Consider the following 17,095-nt stretch of genomic DNA (forward strand, 5'->3'; position numbering starts at 1 on the left):
TTTTAAGTGGTGAAATATAAAACCACAGGGAAAACTATTAAACATATATCAGAAATGGAATCTGTCATCACATTTGTCACCTTGGAAATTTTTAGAAAGACTTTGTTTTAATGAAGCATATGGTGTTTTGCTTATTCAGAAGCAAATTTTATAAGGGACAGTAATCTCAGATTAAGAGAACCTGATCTGTCCTCTCACTTACAACATTTGCCTTAAATATGAGGCATTTAAAAACTTTAGTATCTTTTAATATCACTCCTTTTTGTCCTTACGCTAGTAGGGAGCATGGCTCCAGGAAACTGATCACCTTAACTTGTATTACCAATATCAGAAAAAAAAGATATAAAGACCATTTCACCTAGTTTCACCTTGAAAAGATGTAAATAAGACCCAATCAGTGGTACAGTGATAGGTTAATAGTCTTGGTTTTAGAACAAGAATGTTCTGGTCTTAACCAGTAGAGTGCATGCCTTTGGGCAGGCTTCATTACTGTTCCCAAGAAATGATTCCCTCACTTGTCTTGATAATTGTGCCTAGCTCATTTGGTTGGTTGCTTTTATGACATAATTGAAATCATGTACGTAGAGTGCTTAAAAATGGCTGAAGGTAAATCCTCCATCTCTGTTAGCCTAAACAAAAGGCAGCAGAGGTTCCTGAAAAGAATCTCCATTGTCATCTGTGAGTGAGGACACAAAACTATTTTTGCCTTACAAAAACAAATTGAGATAATGCTTGCCGACCTTTTCTCAAAGTATCAAAACCAATCTAGATCTCCAAGTAGGTTCTACTCATTTATTCTTTCAATACTTATTTATTGAGACTTGCTTGTGTCAGTCACTGTGCTAGGAACTGAGGGGAGATATTTAACAATTACCTTCTGACTATTGTAAAGTTTTGGAAGCAAGTCTGTATTAGTCAGGATCCTAGTAGGAAATAGATTGTTCTCTTAAAGAAGCTGAAAGAGAGTTTAATGGAGGTACTATTTACAAAGGGTATGGGCAGGGTTGAGGATAAACAAAAAGGGCTATGAAATACCAGGAGGCTAGCAACAATGGGAAGCTGCTTCCGGTTCTACAGCTAAATAGGGAGGCCTGCAGGATCTGTGACCTCAAGTAGAACGTTTTAGCCATGGCTACACTATGGCCAGCAGAGAGGGTCCCCTCTTTCCTCCTGCCTTCTGATCTTTTGCAACTGCCTCCATTGGCTGAACATACCCAGGAGCCAGAGGGCTAGACAGTACCTGAGAACCAGCCTCCCAGGGCACAGACCAGAATGGAGAAGGGCCAAGAGTGGGTCTGAAGGGGCAGATGAGGAATATCCAGAAAACAATCAATCTATATTTCTTGCTTTTTTTTTGTCTTATATAACATATATTGACTTTTTTCCCTAAATATAAAATAATGTATTTTTATTGTAGAACATTTGGAAAACTGCCTTGTAATTTGTGATCCTGCTTTTTCCGAGTCAGGACATGTGTCCGATTGAAGGCACATGAATTTATATAGTAAGTTATCATACTCAAAGGATCATAAAACAAATTTATTTCCATGGCTAAGACCTTACAAAAATACTCTTGCTTGTAAAAAGACCTACTGATGTTACCCTGGACCATTTTGTCTCTCTGCCTGTTGTAAGCTTCCTCATCATGGCATCTTTCTACATGTATTGCACTCTTGGCATTCCTTTTTATATTTTTGAACATCATATTGTTCTACATTTTCTCCACTAAAGAAATTCAACTCACTTAGAAAACCTTCTATAACCCTTATTCCATTATTATCATTCTTCCATTATCATCATTTCACATAGCATCTTTAATATTTTTTATATGCTCACAACTTTACAGTTATAATCATTGAGTATGTATAGTTTTATATCCTGCGTTTAAAACACATTTAAATCTTGCTTTTCTTAAATTTAGGAGTCTGAACTTTTTTTTTTTCAGGTTTAACCCTAACTATAGAGGCCCTCAATATTGACTATAACCCTGATAAAATATCTCTTGTTGCTTGTCTACTTTTGCTGGGTTTCAAGCAGCCTTTGAGTAAAAGTATTAAAATTCTGCCTGCTGCTGTTTGGTCAGCATTAGAGGGGCATCGTAGTTCTAATCATTCTTTGGTGTATGCCGAGGAAATTCTTGTCCTTTGCATATTGAATCAAATACCTGAAAAGCCCATGGGGTTCTCTCCCTAGAGCACTTATAAAGGCAAAGTTTCTCCCTTCCCCCATTCTCTTATCTACTTTGTCAGTTTCACTGCCAACTCCTGCATAATGTAGTCAAATTATGTGTTAGAAATTCAACCCTGGTTTCCTGGGTGATGGTACAATGCCACTGCTTAGTATTCCTAGTCACATAGCTACAATTTCATCATGCTGTTAATCTATATATATCTTCATGCTAGAGAAGCAGACTTTTTTTTAAATAAGGCATGCATTAAGGGTTAAATGGACACAGTGAAAAAAATATGTAGGAGTCCTTGAGCTCAGCAACAATACAGGATATTTTTGGTACTAAGACCTTGTGAAACCATTATATGGACTAATACTTCTTGGATTTTGTATTTTTTATAGTACATCTTTTTTCAGTTAAATTCTGCAAACACCGAATTCTTTGTATTGTCTTGTAGTCTGTTGTATGACAACTTTATATTTTAAAAATTTTATTTTAGACTTAGTGGGTACATGTGCAGGTTTGTTACATGGATATATTGAGTAACGCTGAGATTTGGGCTTCCAGTGAACCCATCAACCCAAATAGTGAAGACAGTGCCCAATAGATACTATTTCACCTTTTACCCCCCTCCCACTCTCTTCCCTTTGAGTCTTCATAAACCAGTAACTGCTTTGCCTTTGGTTTCCACAATCAGAGTGCACCCTTAAATTCTGGTAGTGTTATAGAGGTTCTTTGTTTCTGCAATGACTTCCAGTGATCTACACAAAGCCAATGTCATGAACTACAGCATCTCTATCTCAAAATAGCTAGATTTGTGTGACTTAAACCAGGAAATTCAAGCTCTAACTACCGGTTGCTAGAATTTTCTGTGATAAGTAATTGCCTACTAGTTTATGCAATAGACATATGAGAGATTTAAACTGGTGGTAAAAATTAAGATTAAGGTTTTTTTCTTTCATGTATATATATTCTGTATTGGTTTACTTTTCTTCACTTTTTTTTTGACAGTATAAAGCAGTCATATTCTTTAAATTCTGAACTCGTCATATTTTAGCTGTGTTACCTTGGCCAAATAATTTGTTCTCTCTGTTCCTTTGTAGAAAAAGTGATGAAAATAATCTAACAAACTGTTGCAAGCATCAAATAAAATATTTTATGGGAATATACTTTGTAAACTATAAAACATTTGTGTAAAATGCATGTTATTTTTAGATTCTTCATGATCATTATTTGGGAGCCTAATTGTTACTCATTATTCTTACTATCTTTTCCCAAATAGCTTTGTACCAATTTCTTGGATTTTTGTATTAATATTTTGTGAAGCTCTTTTCTCAGCATATCAAACTTAATTGGCTTGGGAAATTATGATGTTTGCTTTTACATGTACATTGTACATATTTCAAATGTTAATTTAGAGAGTATGCCACATATTTTTCTTTAAGGATACAGAGCTGTTCTTTTTTGTGTGTTTTTTTCTCCTGTAGGTATTAAAAAGTGTCAGCAAACTGCATTGAATAACAGACATCCTAAGAGGGGATATTTTCCACCTCTATAATGAAGAAAAGCAGGAGTGTGATGACGGTGATGGCTGATGATGTAAGTTTCAAAAGGTCCCAATCATGTTTGGTCTGTTCAATAAAGAAGTCACTGGATAATTCTATTCAAAGGGCAGCTGGGGGCATTTAACACACCACTCTGTGACTAGGTGTTTCTATGACATGGGCACAGCCAGCACCTGGACCTGACGTTCTGTGAGTTGGACAGCAGGAACAATGCCCTCTTTGCATCTTGGAAATGGGCTGAGTTTCACTTTTATGGTTTTCAATCACAGAACCACCAATCTCTAGTCTATGCCCAGATCCTCACTCTCAGATAATTCCTCTTTCCACACTGCTTGCATTATCATCAGTTCTCTGATAACTTTCTTCCACACTTTTACCCATGTACAGCTAACCCTTGAAAGTCACTTCCTGTGGTGGGGTTTTTGACAACTACTCCTAAGAAGCTTGTGATACACACATCCCCTAGGCCTTTGCTACTGAAGTGTAGTCCTTGGACTAGCAGTATTAGCATTACCTGGGTGTTTATTGAGAATGCAGAATCTCAGGCCACACCTCAGACCTACAAATCAGACTATATTTTAATGGGATAGCAGAGTAAATAGGTATGTACTTTGTTTGAAAGCCCCGATCTAAATCATCTGAAGAAATCTGTAAACTATCTTCTATAGCTTTGGATCTTGGTCCTTAATTATCTCTTTGCTTTCAATTGACCAATCCTTCATTAGTGTGTCTTTAATTGTCTCATCTTTACCCAATTACTGTTTGTAATTGAACTAAAAATTATGTGCCGCTGATCAGATATGTGAAAGGAAAGAAGGGAGGGAAGAAGAAAAAACAATTTTCCTTGTTTTCTGTAATAATCCATCTTGTTAAGCTCCTGTTTCACAGATGCTCACCCTATGGGCCCTGTGGTCCCTTTGCCTCATACCGTAGCAAAGCCTTTGGCAAGAATGCTAGAACTAATTCTCAGCTTCCTTCTGTGTTCCTGTAGGACCCACAGTGCAGAGGGAGAGTTAGGTGTGCTATTTAGATTTTTCCTTCCCAAATACACTCCTTTTCCATTGCCATTTCTATTTTTTGTGTCAAAGAATCTAGTTAATGTGTTCTGTTCTGTCACTTGTGGCAGCATTTACTTCTTCTTCTTCTTCTTTTTTTTTTTTCTTTCTTCCTCTCTCCTGGACCAGAAGGGCATTTCCTTAAGTTATAGTCTAAGTTCTCAGTACCAGCGTTGCTCAGGATACCTAAAAGAAAACTTCTGGAATTTAGAAAACTTTTTTTCTTAAAAAAAAAAAAAAAGGCTTGTGATTGTCCCTTAATACTATTTGTATACTGTGTGCGCCAATATTTTGTTTTTTGGAAGAATAAAACTGAGCAATGCCTTCCATACGGACAAACCATTAGTTCTTTCTCATTGCATCCTTAGAATAATAATCCTGATCCTCCCTGAGGGAATGGTGGGCATAGTCAAAAGAAGAGGAAGGTTGCCTGCAAGAAGCATGCAATGGATATGAACATTAACCCCACCATATTGAATAAATATTACCTAGATTTACTCTGTCCACTGTGGTAGCCACCAGCCACATGTGACTATTAAGTATTAGTCTAAATGGAAATGTGCTGTAAGCATGAAATACATCTTGGATTTTGAATATACAGTGCAATACAAAGCATTTCATTAATAATTTTTGATAATATTACATGTTGCAATGGTTATATTTTGCATATGCAAGCCTAAGTAAAATATGTTATTAAACTAAATTTTACCTGTTTCTTTTTACTTTTTAAATGTATCTACTAGAAAATTTAACATTACACTTTTGGTTCTCATTTGCATTTCTAATCACAGAAATTATATGTGCAAATATATTAGGAGATTGTTTCAAAGAAGGGAAAATAGTAAGAGCGATAAAAATTATTCCAACAAACTACTCTTGTAATTGATGGTGACTGCCTACAATGAAATCAGTTTTTGAAGAAAAAATTACTTTTATTATTGTCTCATGGAGTATCATGACATTTAGCTTCAATAGGGACTCTGACTGTCATTTGCTGCTTTCCATAATTTCCATTTCTGATTTCATAAGACTTAAAAAATTATGTCCTGTGGTCCAAATTGAATGTGTACCGAAGCACAGTAGGAGACCTTAAAAATACCTTATTCCATTTTCTCACTATGAGTTTAACCAAAAGAATTCAAAAAGTAGAGAATGCTTCAAAAATGACTGAAATAGACAAAACAAAAGACAAGTAACAACAGCAACAAAACCTTGACTACTTAAGCACCAGCATTTCTCATCTGGACATTTCAATGGTCCTAACTTGGTTGGTTTCGATATGGGGATATGACAAACAGCTCAGTCCTTTGGTGTCCCCTCCCCCTCCTCTCTGTAAACTTCTACTTAGGTGCAGGATTTTACACTACCTTTTCCTTTGTGACAAGCTTTTCAAATTTTATTGGCAAGAATACTGACTTTTAAACAAACAGTTATTCAGAAACAGAAGGATAATCCAAAACTACGTTGTTTCCTTAGGGATTTTTCATATTACCAGGGAATTTTGGAAACCATGATACATTTTAAAAGTTGTGATTTCCAGAGGTAACATTCAAATTAATGTTCCTTTCTGCAAAATATTTGAAAATTTAGGAAAGGAAGTTCAAGATCACAAATCAGTAATTGAGAATTGACTAAATTAAATTTTACTTTGAGGTTTTTAGTAATTTTAGAGTAGTGGTGTATAAATTATGGGTATGAATTACAGAGTGTGAAGTAATTATGAATAAATCTGCATGAGTTAATTAGTGTTTGTAAAACAATATTAAGTTTTCATCTTGAATTTAATTTCTGAAAAGCTATTCCATTATGTTCTTACTTTGTGGCAATGCATTTAATATTAACTGAGGTCTTCTGGAACAAATCTTTTTAACTTAAAGAATATTTCAAATTTGAAAATTTGAGCTTGTTTGCAAATTAGTGTGGGAAATATTTTGTGATAGGTGTGACTTTTTTATTTTTCAAATAACAAGTGCCAAATAGTACCCATTTAGGTCACTTACTACAATTAAACCTGGATGGTAATAGTTCTTTTTTCTAAAGAAGAAAAATATCTAATAATCATATTAGGAGGTTAGGGTGGTTGGCGGTTTAGCTACATGATAGATATCCTTATTTCTGTTCTTTGGTAAGGTGTGTCTTACATAAGAGATAAAGTATATATTCAAGACTTTGCTTTCCAGATAACCAGTGCTTTCTTTACATGCATATTTGGAACTAGACTGATTTACCATTATGATTTCCTTTAGTTTATTCTTAAATCTCTTCAGGAAGATTTTATATATTTTGTCTCCTAAAGAAGTTTGTAAGTCTTTTAAAAAATAAACATATATATTAGTTTTTCCCTTTAGCCTCTAATTTACACACATAGACACACACACACATGCACACACACATACACACACAACATACAGTAAGTGCTAGGCCTACAATGGATTTGATATAATAACTAGTTACTAGACAGTGAAACACTGATACATTCCAGAATGTTTCAAACTCTGGAAAATTTTAAATTGTTTTGTCTTCTTCCTGATACTGAACTATGATTCTACTGAATTTCAAATAAATAGTATTTTAAAATTATAAGTCAAGCACAAGAAAATATAATGGTGTCTCATTTTCTGGTATGGAGGGTGGGGCTCCTGAAAATTCTCAAGCCTGTTCTTGCCTAGATTTCTATCATCGAAGTATAGTCTTGCATGCATCAGATAAGTATAAATCACTAGATTATATGTTCTATGAGAAAAGATACCATTCCTCTTTTTGCTATTGTATCCTTAAATAGCACAGTGCAAAATAATAATAGATGTGTGTCAAATATTTGTTGAATTAACCCAGCTAGATCCTCAAACTTGAGTTAATTATCCTTATATGAACTAGGATAGGGGCCGTGGGGTAGAGGAGCGGAGGGTAAAGAACTTTGTTTAAACTTTAGGAGGTCTAGTCTCAGGTTCTCCTAACTCGAGTCTGAAGAGCTAGTAGGAAATACCTGTCTTTAGTGTCACAGAGTAATTTTCAGGTGAGAGACTGTAGCCTGATGCTAGGACTTCCGTTATTCCCTGCTAGCTAAGTGTGAACAGTGAAAATTGTAACTTTGAAACCTTAAGTTGATATCAGTGACCATTGCAGGGCTATAACATTTTCTGTCTTTTAGCTGGTATGAATGGTACACCAGGCAGAGGCTCATTTGGGCCTCCCACTCCCAACAATCTCAGGACCCATTGTCACCAAAAGATATGGGAAGAATAAATAACTTGTATCATTGAGTACCGCACAATGTCTTTGTCTTCTCACAAAGTGTATGATTAATGTCAGCATTAGGGCATGTACTTGAACGTGGCAGTTCAAGACTGAATAAAGTATACTTCTTTTTCTGAGTTCTTACACAATTTGAAAAAAAAATCTCCAATTGTAAGAAGACCTTTCATAAGAACATAACAGTCACCTCTAATTATCAACATTCAGCTGTTCTAAGATAGATAATATTTTTACTTTAAAACACTGGATGGCTAGGCGTAGTGGCTCATGCCTGTAATCCCAGCACTTTGGGAGGCCGGGACAGGCAGATCACCTGAGGTCAGGAGTTTGAGACCAGCCTGGCCAACATGGCGAAACCCCGTCCCTACTAAAAATACAAAAATTAGCCGGGCGTTGTGGTGTGTGCCTGTAGTCCTAGCTACTTGGGAGGCTGAGGCAGGAGAATCACTTAAACCCAGGAGGAAGTGGTTGCAGTGAGCTGAGATCACTCCAGCCTGGGTGACAGAGCGAGACTCCATCTCCAAAAATAAATAAATACATAAAATAAAATACTGAACGAGAAACTTTATATTTTCTCATAGTTTGTTCCCATAGTTGCAGAACGATAACATTGATTTCCAAAATATATTTTTGATTTTAGCAAATATCATTTTAGCAACTTATGAAAAAAATTAAAATAGGAAAGAAGGAGGCCTCCAATCCACATGCTACAACTAGTAAACATTATCTATATGCCTAAAAATCTCCAGGAATATGCAACTGATAAGTTTATTCTAAAAGCTGAGAATCAGCCTCTTCTATTGTTTTCTCTTTAAGCTTTTGACATCGTTGTTAGATTCTGATTGTGAGATAATCAGGACATCATAAGTGACAGCTTGATCATTTAGTTTCTTCTTTCACTCCATTTAACATTTGAATTTCATTTTCTTTCTCTTCTTTTTTTCTTTCCCTGTGGTTCCTCCAGAATGTTAAAGATTATTTTGAATGTAGCTTGAGTAAATCCTACAGTTCTTCCAGTAACACACTTGGGATCGACCTCTGGAGAGGGAGAAGGTGTTGCTCAGGAAACTTACAGTTACCACCACTGTCTCAAAGACAGAGTGAAAGGGCAAGGACTCCTGAGGGAGATGGTATTTCCAGGCCGACCACACTGCCTTTGACAACGCTTCCAAGCATTGCTATTACAACTGTAAGCCAGGAGTGGTGAGTAGCCTCAAAATCAAATGTCAATTCTAAATTTTTATTTTCCAATTTCTCCAAATACAATTTCATAGTATTAAAATGTGAGTTTTCTGTGAAATACCTAAGATGATTGACATTTTGAGAATTCGTTTCCCTTTAGAATCAAAGATAAGGTCTTGTAAACAGTGGAGATATTTTCTAGTTCTTCAGAGTGGAAGGAACATGCTTCATTTAAAGCTACTGAGGAAGGAATGAGATACATTTACATTAATGTAAAGGGATAACAAAATTACTGCTTATGATCTAACTTTTTTAAAAAGAGCTATACAGTGTGCATCAGTATTTTTTGACTTAGAAAAACAAATTACATGTTACTATATGTATATGATGTTCTTATTGCTGAACTCTACACTTCTCCCTAGCTTCTATTTATTATCATCCTACTTTATTAATCTCAGTTTGTGATTATCTATAAAATAAAACATTTCATTGTAAATTGAAAGAGTAATGAAAATTGCGCTATGAGAGATGCTGGCACTGTTGTGCAGAGTCTATATTTGTGAAAGAGGCTATTTTAAACCAGTGTTGAAAAGTTAATCATATAATCTTACAATTGTGGTTATTGTGCCATGACTGCTTCAAATATGTGCTTTATTATATATTTAATAATTAGTACATTCTCACTTTTCCTTTTCTGTTTTCCTACATCATTTTAAAATATTTTTCAGGAAGGATTGGCTTACATATCATGGAGGTTTATCATGAAAGTGAAAAATATTTTCTCTGATATGATTTTAAATTAATAATGTGTTGCTTTTAAAATCACTTTTTGTTTACATAATTTATCAAGTGAAAGACTAAGCATTAAATTATTGTACAACATTATTGTAGTAAATTATTAAAAATCTATTATTTTTATGGTGTACCATGTACAGAGCTCTGCCACATGCTGAGCTCTCCAGGGCTGATGAGTAGCCCAGTATGTGCTCTTTGAATAATGATATACGGCATCTTGACATCCTTTAGTCAATGTTTACCTGACACACTGAGCATTAGATCACTGAAACTCCAGGTATCACAGTTAATAGCATCAAATATTTAATCAGACAATCTGTGTGATAGAGAATCATGCTAAAACATTTTAAAGAAAATGGGTTAAAAATTTGAGAAGGACTGTCTTACATCTTCTGTTCAGCTGAATTAACATTATATAAGAGTCATAGCCAATCATGGAGAATTAAAAGGGCACATAGGGCTCCCCTATAGGATACTCAATCACATAGCTTATGTGATTAGTCTTGATTATGTGTCTGTATAATTACGGATTTGGAGTCTTAAAGATTTCCAGATTTATTTTTCAGCAGGTTGGCAGTGATACAATTCTATCAGTTGTTAAAGTATTGAAATGCTTTCATACCAGTTGGTAAATATATGCTTTCTTGAGCTCTCTGATTGCCCCTACTACTCTCGCAGACTATTCTCCTGAAGCCTCTAGAATTTCTCACAATCTAAAAACAAAGAGGTGAAGACTGGCACAGAGGAATCTGGTTTTGGTGGGTGTTGGTGCTATATCTGTTGTTAGCTATTTTGAGTAACACCCTGGGTAAAATGTACAGTGCCTTGTAAAGTTTGAGTTCATTTAATTCAAAGACATTTTGGGAGTTGTAGAATTGTTCCTTCCTTAGAAATATCAAATCTAGACTCTGCCATTTGGGGCATGCTTGTTTCTCTTTCCTAGTTGAATGTTTTTATTTTTAAAGGAGGGCAATAATATTTACCTCATAGGCTATTGTGAGGATTAAATGATGTAATCTATCTAAGGTATTTTGCTTAGTAAAATGCATATGGTAGGTAATCAGCAAATGTTGATTTTTGTCCTCTTGATCATTATCCAATAAATATTTTCTGGAAATTAGAAACCATGTCTCTAGTATCAGTAGCCTCATTCTTGGCGTCAGTATTTTAGGTTGAAATGGAAAATTTAGCCATTATTCATGTTCAATAGTCAGTGAGCACCACATATTGGTAATTCATTTATAACATGTGTGTTTTATTTCAATTAACAGGATACTTTTTAAAGTATGAGAATAGAGTATGCAGATAACTCTGAATTTATTTTAAAACATAAGTAACTAAAAGCATTTCTTTTTTTTTTTTTTTTTTTTTTTTTTTGAGACGGAGTCTCGCTCTGTCGCCCAGGCTGGAGTGCAGTGGCGGGATCTCGGCTCACTGCAAGCTCCGCCTCCCGGGTTCACGCCATTCTCCTGCCTCAGCCTCCCAAGTAGCTGGGACTACAGGCGCCTGCCACTACGCCCGGCTAATTTTTTGTATTTTTAGTAGAGACGGGGTTTCACCGTTTTAGCCGGGATGGTCTCGATCTCCTGACCTCGTGATCCGCCCGCCTCGGCCTCCCAAAGTGCTGGGATTACAGGTGTGAGCCACCGCGCCCGGCCCTAAAAGCATTTCTGAACATCTCTTGAAAATCCAGCTTCCACTGGAATACTGATAGCTGAAGACTGGTGGAATTATTGGTGAAGGAATCTGATTAAAAAATGATTTGACTAGAAGTGAGGGAACTGGGTTCAAATTATCATCAATGCCATCAACTTGATGAAAGTTCATAGAGATAAGGAGTACTGCCTAGGACTACGTGAGAGAAAGAATTATGCTTACCACTTAGAGTACCAAGAATATGGAATCAATTTCCATGCCAAGACCAGCAATGAGCAAATGTTTTCTCTAAAGGACCAGATAGTAAATATTTTAAGTTTTATGAGCTTTGCAGTCTCTGTCACAACTACTCATCCTTGCTGTTATATTGTGAAAGGAGCCATAGCCAATGTGTAAACGAAGAAGTGTAGCTGTGTTCCAATAAAACTTTGTTTACAAAAACAAGCAGCAGGCTGGATTTGGCCTGCCAGAGTTTGCCGACTTTGAAAAGTCTCCCTTAGAAAAGTTTCCCTTTCTAGGCTAGTAAAGATCTCTAAGACGTGATCCTAGGATTTGATCATTGTTTTTACAGTTATCAAGGACAAAAACTGACTTTGAGGTCATGGCTGATGTGCCAAATAAGTCATAAGTATGGGACTGTGTGTTCTAGATCAAGCCATCAAAGACAGTGAAATAATTTGAATCCGTTCTAATGAAAAGTACTGCCTAATTTTATATAAGGTTTTATATAAAAACATTAACATGATTTTATCATATGTTTATTTGGAGAAAACAGGCCATCATTACAGAAAAAAGGCCGGGAATATAAGAATAGTGATTTTATTTGTCATGGAGCAAGAAAGAGTTAGAAAGGACTCAAGCCCAGTTTTATTGGGTGACTTCCATTTTGTAGCCTTTCAGATGAGTTTCTATTATAATACAATCTCCAAAAGACACAAATGAACAAACAATGGAGATTACAATACCTACACTTCAAAATCATGTGGAAAATTAAAGAAAAGGTTTGCTATGCATGTAGCACAATCACTTGTTCTTAATGGTTATTTTGATATTATTATTATTGTCATTTTTATTGTTACATTTAGACTGAGTAGCCAAAATTATGCATTTTCTATTATTGGAGGTTTTAGGGGAAACTTAGCTCCTGAGTTCTTGGAACCAACTTGGAAATATGATGAAAGAGGAATTCAGATATGAAAGCAAGATGTTATCTTTAATACTGATAAAGTTGATACTGAAAAATATAATTTATGTCTGTGGGCAAGTGGGTTCCTAATATTGAAACCTATAATTGCATAGATGCTAGACCTGGGCAGGATCCCCTCACCTCTTATACACACATAAATAGAAGGCCTACCCCTACAAAACTTGTAGCATGGAGGATCTGTAGAAATCCTACTCACGTGAGAAAGTAGAGGGAAGGATTGAACTGTACATGGCCAGTTCCCCCTTATGAAAACACCAAGAAAGATTAAATTATTCATTCTCTCTGGGAAATAGTGAGTAAGGCGGCAGAAAGAGGCTGGAAATGTGATGCTGGTGGCATTCCAGACACTTGCAAGACATATCAAACATTTCCCAATTTTTAAAATCTTTTCACCTTAACTTTAGGGGCACATTAGGGATGTGCCTGTTCTTTAGAGGAAGATATCAGGAGTATACCAGTACTAACTTACTGCCATCTTTGTGAAGCTGTTCTCCCAATATTGACCACTGCCCTTTTGAGTATTCCCCCCAACCCCCTCCCCCACAAAAATCTGAATTCAAAGTTTCCTGCTCTTGTAAACTGAAGTTCAAAAAATGAAGTTCTCACATTTATCTTCCATGTCTTCTTGATTTTCTCATTTTGTTAGCAGGACCTTGAAGCATGGTTTAGAAGGAGGGTTTCCTAACCAGCTGCAGCCTAAGTCATCTTCCACTGTAAAGGCTGTAGTTTCTTCAGGCCCATAGGAATTGTATTCGTATAATACCAGGTCTCTGAGGGACTTCACTTTTTAAATAGTTACTGATCTATAGGTTATGCAATGCTGCATAACCAAATTTAGATAATAAGCCAATTCTGGGCCTTGAACATCTATAGTTAATCTATAACTTTAATCTTCTTACATGAGGGTCTTAGAACACTTTACTCTTTCAAGCCCTTCCCTGCTTACAGTTTGTTTTTGTGTATTTTAGTTATTTCTCTCTCTCTGTATATCTTACCACACAATACATTAGCATTATTTTTTGCATTCACCGTTTGATTTGGATTTTCCCAGATACTTACCAATGTTTTGGTTTTAATTCCTCCTCATATCTTAGAACCTCTGCTGGAATTATTTGCCTTTTTGCCTGAAGTAAATTCTTCAGAATTTATTTCAGTTTGTCTGAAAATGTCTTTACTTTATTTCAACACTTTGAAACTATTTTTCCCTGCTTTTTGTCTTCTGTTGTTACTATTAGGAAATCAGCTATCACTCTAATTGTCTTTCTTATAGATAATCTGTCAATTGTTTTTTGTCTCTGGATTTGGGCAGTTGAACTTTGATGTGCCTAAGGATGGATTTCCTTTCATTTATCTTATTTGGGATTTCCCGGACTTCTTGAATATGTAAATTTATATCTTCCTTATCAGATCTGGAATATTCTTTCATTACCTCTTCAAATATTTTCTCTGCCAATCTTTCTCCTCTGCTGTTGGATTTCTGATTAAATGTATTTTATAAACTTCTTTGTCTTCCATTTCTCTTAATTTATTCCACATTTTTTTCTCATTTTGTCTTTCTGGGCTGCATTCTGATAATTGTTTCTAATCTGCCTTCCAGTTTGCTAATTTTTTTTTTTTTTTGAGACGGAGTCTCGCTCTGTCGCCCAGGCTGGAGTGCAGTGGCGGGATCTCGGCTCACTGCAAGCTCCGCCTCCCGGGTTCACGCCATTCTCCTGCCTCAGCCTCCCAAGTAGCTGGGACTACAGGCGCCCGCCACTACGCCCGGCTAATTTTTTGTATTTTTAGTAGAGACGGGGTTTCACTGTTTTAGCCGGGATGGTCTCGATCTCCTGACCTCGTGATCCGCCCGCCTCGGCCTCCCAAAGTGCTGGGATTACAGGCGTGAGCCACCGCGCCCGGCCGCTAATTTTTTTTTCAAACTATGTCTCATTTGTTATTAAACCTATTATATTTTTTTAATTTTGATTATTGTATTTTTACATTTTAAAGTTTGTATTCATGTATTTAAAAATACACTAGATAATGTTATGTGGTTTTCTATTCCCTGCTATCTATTACTGCATAGCAAATAATCCCAACATTTACTGGCTTAAAATAACATTTTTATCTCAGAGTTTCTATGAATCAGGAATCCAGCTGTGGCTTAGCTGTGTGCCTCTGACTCAGAGTCTCTCACAAGACTGGAATCAAGTAATTGGCCAGTACTGTAGTCATGCATATGGGTGGAAAGGTGGGCAGAACTGCTTCCAACCTGATCAACATGGTTGTTGACAGGCTCAATTCCTGGCTGTGGCTGACTAGAAATACCAGTTCCTTGCCATGTGGGTCTCATAGACCTATGTGAAGGCTATTTATAACATGTCAGTTTGGTTTCTCCAGAGCAAGTGTTTTGAGAAAGAGAGACCAATAGAGACTGAGCAAGACAGAGGTCAAAGTATTTTTACAACTTAGTCTTAGAAGTGACATCCCATCACTTTTATATATTCTGTTCATTAGGTCTTACACATGCACAGGGGAGGGGATTCTGCAAAGGAATAAACAAGGAGGTGGAGATCATTGGAGATCAGTTTAGAGGCTGTATATTGCACTGCAGATATTTTCAAGCTTTTAGAGAGCAAGAATAGTTATTTTACCCTTTTGCTCATTTTAGTAACTAAAGTTTTCAGTGAGTCTATTTTCTATTATCTGTGTTTCCTGATAGTTTTTGCTCATGCTTTTAAAAAACTTTATTAAGAAAAATAGCTAATGCATGCTGGGCTTAATACCTAGGTGATGGGTTGATAGGTGCAGCAAACCACCATGGCACATGTTGTATGTAACAAACCTGCACATCCTGCACATGTACCCCGGAACTGAAAATTAAAAAAAATTCCTTACTACTATTTAAAAAAACTTTATTAAAGTACAATCAGTGTGCAAAAAAGTATACCTATCATAAGAGGGCATGTTGATAAAATTTCACAAATTGGACACAACCACAAAACCAGGAACAAAATCAAGAAGCAAAACTTTACTAGTGTCTCAGAAGCTCTTCTTATGCACCCCCCGAGCCCCTGCCCCATCACTACCTCCTCCATACCTCCAACAACATCTATTAGTTTTGTCTGTTTTTGAACTTTACATAATGGAATCACATAATGTGTAATATTTTGCATTTGACTTATTTATTGCCCTCAACATTAGGTTTAAGAGGTGTGCTTAATTTTTTAAAATTTATTGTGTGCTGCCACAATAAATTAAATGTCATTGAAACATTATTTGTAGGCACAGTTTAAGGTATCAGAATAAGGTTCACCATAGAGAATTTGCATTTGATTCTATCAGGTCTCTAGGGGCACTGGGGCATTGGTAGATTGATCAGAGGGTTTCTCAATCATCTAGCTGAAACATGATCATAATCTGTTAAGGTCCACTGCCTATGACCCCACGCCCTCAACCCCTGGCCCTGCTTGAATTATCACTGAGGCTACCCTTCTGGCAGTCTCCTGGATGTAGAGTAGGGGTGTGTTTACTTCTATTTTACCTTTGCAATGAGAAAATAGCCCTTTGAAGTTCTGGTTTAAGTTGGGAAGACTCTCCTTTTGAATGCCTCACCCTGGCATGGCTGGGCTTTGATTACAGTTCCCCCTTGACCCTCAAGGACATCAGACTAATATTAACTTTTACTCTGTGTGGTAAATATCCTCAGGGCAAAAGCAACTTTGACGTCCATTATGCACCTTTGGTGAGAAAAGTCCCCTTACACTTTGACTTGCTATTTCCTTACTAACTTGGCATTTCTTTAGTAGCATCAAGAAAATAAGATGATAGTTTTCCTTATTTTTAAAGCAAAGGTTTTGTTGAGATAACCTTGTGAACAATATTACAGAAAACTTTCATAGCTACTTGCTATGGAGATCTTAGGTCCTTTCATCCCACACTTGTTTTGGCTATAAAATTGCCTTTAGTACATTCTTAAACTGAAGCTTCTGATGATAATTCTTAAGTTTGTGCTCCTAAGGGCCTACTGGGACCTATTTCTTTGACTTTTTCTCCCGAAGACACTATCTTTCCCCAGTATCTGAATGTTTTTGGCTTTGAGTAAAATGTTTGCTTATTTTATGTAGTAGATATTAGTGTCTTTACTGTTTTATCTCCCTTTCAGAAAGGAACATCTGAGTTTGCAATAGTTTAAACTGAATCTTGTTTTACTGTCTTTTCTTCCTTTGTA

At 36.1% G+C, this 17,095-nt stretch overlaps 1 protein-coding gene across 4 annotated transcripts in view; it reads left to right on the forward strand.

Annotated features, from left to right (window-relative positions):
• Positions 1 to 17,095, forward strand: part of PDE4B (phosphodiesterase 4B) — a 582,070-nt gene that overhangs the window by 117,078 nt on the left and 447,897 nt on the right. For 2 of the 4 annotated variants that reach the window (NM_001037341.2, NM_002600.4), the window contains exons 2-3: positions 3,658 to 3,769; positions 9,010 to 9,248. In NM_001037341.2, coding sequence (NP_001032418.1) covers positions 3,728 to 3,769; positions 9,010 to 9,248 — 281 coding nt within the window. In that variant the 5' untranslated portion in view covers positions 3,658 to 3,727. Of the gene's footprint in view, positions 1 to 3,657; positions 3,774 to 9,009; positions 9,249 to 17,095 lie in introns of those variants that run through there. The other 2 variants (NM_001297440.2, NM_001297441.1) reach the window with 2 other exon arrangements.

The sequence above is a fragment of the Homo sapiens genome, chromosome 1, assembly GCF_000001405.40.
Source record: "Homo sapiens chromosome 1, GRCh38.p14 Primary Assembly".
NCBI classification, from domain to species: domain Eukaryota; kingdom Metazoa; phylum Chordata; class Mammalia; order Primates; family Hominidae; genus Homo; species Homo sapiens.